The following is a 4,656-nucleotide window of genomic DNA, read 5'->3' on the forward strand; positions in this document are numbered from 1 at the left end:
AGCAGTCAGAATGGCTATTATTAAAATATCAAAAAAATAAAAGATACTGGCAAGCTTGTGGAGAAAAGAGAACACTTTTTTGTAAAATTAAAATAGAGTTTATTAGCTTTTCTTTTCTATTTTATTTTATTTTATTTTATTTTTGAGACAGAGTCTCACTTTGTCGCCCAGGCTGGAGTGCAGTGGCACCATCTCTGCTCATTGCAACCTCCGCCTCCCGGGTTCAAGCAATTCTCCTGTCTCAGTCCCCCAAGCAGCTGAGACCACAGGTGCACGCTACCACGCCCGGCCAATTTTTGTATTCTTAGTAGAGACGGGGTTTCCCCATGCTGGCCAGGCTGGTCTCGAATTCATGACCTCAGGTAATCTGCCAGCCTTAGCCTCTCAAAGTGCTAGGATTACAGGTGTGAGCTACCACACCCGGCCAGAAATAGATTTCATCTAGTTTAGAACACTAATCTCTTTTTAATATTTCAAATTTAGGTGACTTTGTTATCAGTCTCCTAAAATTATTTGCTCCTTGCCTTTTAAAGCCTGAAGTAAGACTTCCTAAGGGTTATGTAAGTAGTTTCTTAAATAGCAGGACTTAATGGGACACCTACAGCTTGGTAACGTAGGATGATAAAAGAACTGTTCATATCACCTTCTATCATTAGGGTCCATTTCCTTTTATTACATGCTAATTAACACTGCTCTTCAAAATCTTCCTTTACATTAAAGAAACTTTGGTGATCAAAGCATATAGAGCACAACCCTGCAAGTAGCTACTTTTAAAAAGAGGAGGGCATTTTATGGAGATACAAGGTATTCCAAAAGTTTAGTGTAATTTTAAGCTTTGATATATGTAGAAGTATAAATGCTACAAACCACAAACCTTTACAAAAACTTGTTTGAACGTTTTTCTTTTTCTTTTTTTATTTTAGACAGGGTCTGGAAGTTACCCAGGCTGGAGTGCAGTGGCATGATCATGGCTCACTGCAGCCTTGACCTCCTGGGCTCAAGTGATCCTCCGACCTCAGCCTCCAGGGTAGCTAGGACTACAGACACATGCAACCACATCCAGCTAATTATTTTTATTTATTATTATTTTTTTTACAGACAGGGTATCAATATGTTGCCTAGACTGGTCTTGAACACCTGTGCTCAAGCAATCCTCCCACCTCAGCCATGCAAAGTACTGAGATTGTAGGCATGAATCACTATGTCCAGCCCTTTTCTTTCGCATTTAATTTTGCATTTTTTTAAGAGATGTGGTCTCGCTATGTTGTCCAGTTTGGAGTGCAGTAGCAATTCCTATAGGCACCATCATGGTGCACTGCAGCCTCCAATACTTGACCTCAAGCAGTCCTCCAACCCCAGCCCCCCAAGCAGGTGGGATTATAGGCATGCACCACCACACCCAGCTTCATTTTGCAAATTTTTAATATAAAGCTTTTAATTGTTTGCCTCAGTGAAAGTCTGCTATCTTCAAAAGTGACTGAAACAAAAAATTAAACTATTCAGGAGACAAGTGCCAGGTGTGCCTGTAGTCCCAGCCACTCATGTCACTGATGCTAGAGGATGGCTTGAGGTCAGAAGTTCTAGGCTGCAGTGCACCATGATTGCACCTGTGAACAGCCACTGCACTCCAGCCTGGACAACAGAGCAAGACCTCATCTCTTAAAAAAATTTTTTCAAACGATGTTTTTTAAAAGGTTCATAGCATTTATACTCACGCTGCAGTGCCTTCGAGGGCCTGAGCTATATTAAAGCTTAAAACCGCTTTACTTTTTTTTTTCATTGTCACTAAGCCACCATGTTGGTTGGCATTATGAAAATATGTATTAATACACTTATTTAACAAGGGAAAAATTATCAGAAAATGAGAAGCATCATTCTTAGTTCACAAGAAATGCAACATGGACCCCAATAGAAGAAGGAGAAGTCATGCAGCCAACAAAGATATGAAAAAATGCTCATCATCACTGGTCATTAGAGAAATGCAAATCCATGTCATGCCAGTTAGAATGGTGATCTTTAAAAAGTCAGGAAACAGCAGATGCTGGAGAGGATGTGGAGAAATAGGAATGCTTTTACACTGTTGGTAGGAGTGTAATATTAGTTCAACCATTGTGGAAGACAGTGTGGTGATTCCTCAAGGATATAGAGCTAGAAATACCATTTGACCCAGTGATTCCATTACTGGGTATATACCCAAAGGATTATAAATCATGCTACTATAAAGACACATGCACATGTATGTTTATTGCAGCACTATTCACAATAGCAAGACTTGGAACCAACCCAAATGTACATCAGTGATAGACTGGATTATGAAAATGTGGCACATACACACCATGGAATACTATGCAGCCATAAAAAAGGATGAGTTCATGTCCTTTGCTGGGACATGGATGAAGCTGGAAGCCATCATTCTCAGAAAACTATCACAAGAACAGAAAACTAAACACTGCATGTTCTCATTCATAAGTGGGAGTTGAACAATGAGAACACATGGACACAGGGAGGGAAATATCACACACCGAGGCCTGTTGGGGGGTGGGGGGATAGGGGAGGGATAGCATTAGGAGAAATACCTAATATAGGTGACGGGTTGATGGGTGCAGCAAACCACCATGGCACATGTATACCTGTGTAACAAAACTGCACGTTCTGCACATTACCCCAGAACTTAAAGTATAATAAAAAATAAATAAATAAAAGAAGTAGATATCAATAACGATACTTCCTCTGTTTATGACCCCAAACATGCTAAAATGCTAAAGTAATGTTTGCAAAGAATATGAATGACAAATGTTATCCAGCAGGTTTTTGGCTTAAAATGATTGCCTATGACTAGCAGCTTCAATGGTAGGGAGGAAGAATCCTTCATTACCTAACAATGGTGCAGTCTGCTCCTAAGTGTCTTTAGAGTACCATGTTTTAATGATAATACTGCATTGATTCTAAAGGCATATGCAGCAAAATGTGGGGAGGGAGAAAAATTGGAAAAAGCATAAAAGTTATATGGTTAGTGTCTTTAAAGTTTAAAAATTTAAACTATTGTTTAAAAAAACCTTACATAGTTCACAGCTATCAGCCCATATAGTAAGCAAATATCTGTGTGGGAAAGGAACCTTCACTTTGGAGTGTTTTTTGTAACTCTGTTTACATTAAAAAGGACAGAAGAATGTTTTGTTGCATTGACAAGGTCCCATTCTTTTCTATGGAGTACAATCCTTGTTGTCCATGAATCTCTTGAATTCGAGATCTATCCTTTTAATGAAAACACTAATTTTGCTGGGTTTTGAGCAGGAAAGGTGATATTTCTCCAGTCTTTGTAGATAAAGGTCCTGTGACGTTATAACCCCTCATTTCTCCCTTTAAGAGAGGATGGCTTTAGAGTGCTGAATACCAATGAAGTCATCAGTGCTGAAAGACCTTCTCATAGGGCTCTCCACAAGTCTTTGTCTTCACACAATCTAGAAATAGCCTCTAGGTTCTGTGCTCTTTTTTTGCTAAGAGGAGCAAATAGAAAATTCAGGTTATTGTCATCTGCTAAGGAGCGAAGATCAAAGTAGTATTTGGCATAAACACTGGCAGGAACATTAAGATTAAACTGAAGAAGCATCAAAAAATGCCTTTCCATTTCATTCATGTCCTCACCTGTAATGTCCTTGAAGATCTGGCAGTAGTCCATATTCCATACAGCCTGATGGTTCCAAACCTTGGAGGCAAGAATGGCTCGCAGACCAATCCTTTTCCAGTTAGTGGGACAAATGTTGGTTTCAGCATAAGTTAAAAGCTTTTCTAAGTAAACCAAAGTTACTATTGCACATTCAGCTGTTAGCTGTGCAGCACTAAAAGGAGTATGAACAAATCTGTAAATAAATTTGTGCTCAGGATCATGCTTAAACTATTCTTCTGGAACTTTTTCTCGTGTAAGTGGATGTGATCTCTCATCAAAAATATCCAGGGATCTATTTGCATCTCTGTTCTTTATGTGGTGATATATTGCTAAGGTCACACATTTTACTGTGGTTCTAAGGTTAGGCTGGTTGACTGTGCTGTCATATAGAAATATTGTTGAGCATGAGCTATACTTTTTAGTAAGCTGCCCTGGAGATACATGGTTTAAATGGTTGCTCTTCCTCTTTTCTCTCACATCCGTTTGAGATTTGCGCAGGAAAATTGTGCTTGCCCTTGGATGGTCAGAAGGGTTTGACTCCAATGCTAAATCTTTGGGCATCTCGCGGTCGCTGATGTGCTGCAGGTGGTGGCCCTCGCCTTCTCCGAAATCAAACTCGGGAGGCTCCGCAGCAGCAGGCGCTACCGCCACCTCGTCCCCGGACGCCGCCTCGTAGATGTCGGACGCGGGGATCCGGCGCGCCGGCCCAGCTTGGGGCTGGCATTGAGGGACACGCAACAAGTCAGCGTGTTCCCCATGGGGCGCCTCCGCCCCTCTCCGCCGCCTCTGGCGCCTTCGCTTGCGCCCTACTCTGCCTCGCTCAGCAGCAGCCCCCTCCCCCAACAATGGCGCGGGGACACTGAGCAAGCAGAGGCCACCTCGCCCAGGGCTCACCCGCCCGCCCCGCGGCCCTGCTCCGCCAGGGCTCGGTCCTGCGCCACACCCCAGCCGCCACGCTGCCTCCGCCTCCGGTGAGCTGACTTGTCTGC

At 42.3% G+C, this 4,656-nt stretch overlaps 1 pseudogene, besides 1 other annotated feature; it reads right to left on the minus strand.

Moving 5' to 3' along the window:
* Window positions 1-1,324: 1,324 nt before the first annotated feature.
* Window positions 1,325-4,656, minus strand: CCNYL5 (cyclin Y like 5 (pseudogene); annotated as a pseudogene).
* Window positions 4,489-4,638: a silencer, noted in NCBI's record as "silent region_20883". NCBI's record gives its function as "represses an Ori minimal core promoter by ATAC-STARR-seq in GM12878 lymphoblastoid cells {active_cell/tissue: GM12878}" and the evidence as "EXISTENCE:reporter gene assay evidence [ECO:0000049][PMID:35858748]".

This window comes from Homo sapiens, chromosome X (genome assembly GCF_000001405.40).
Source record: "Homo sapiens chromosome X, GRCh38.p14 Primary Assembly".
NCBI classification, from domain to species: domain Eukaryota; kingdom Metazoa; phylum Chordata; class Mammalia; order Primates; family Hominidae; genus Homo; species Homo sapiens.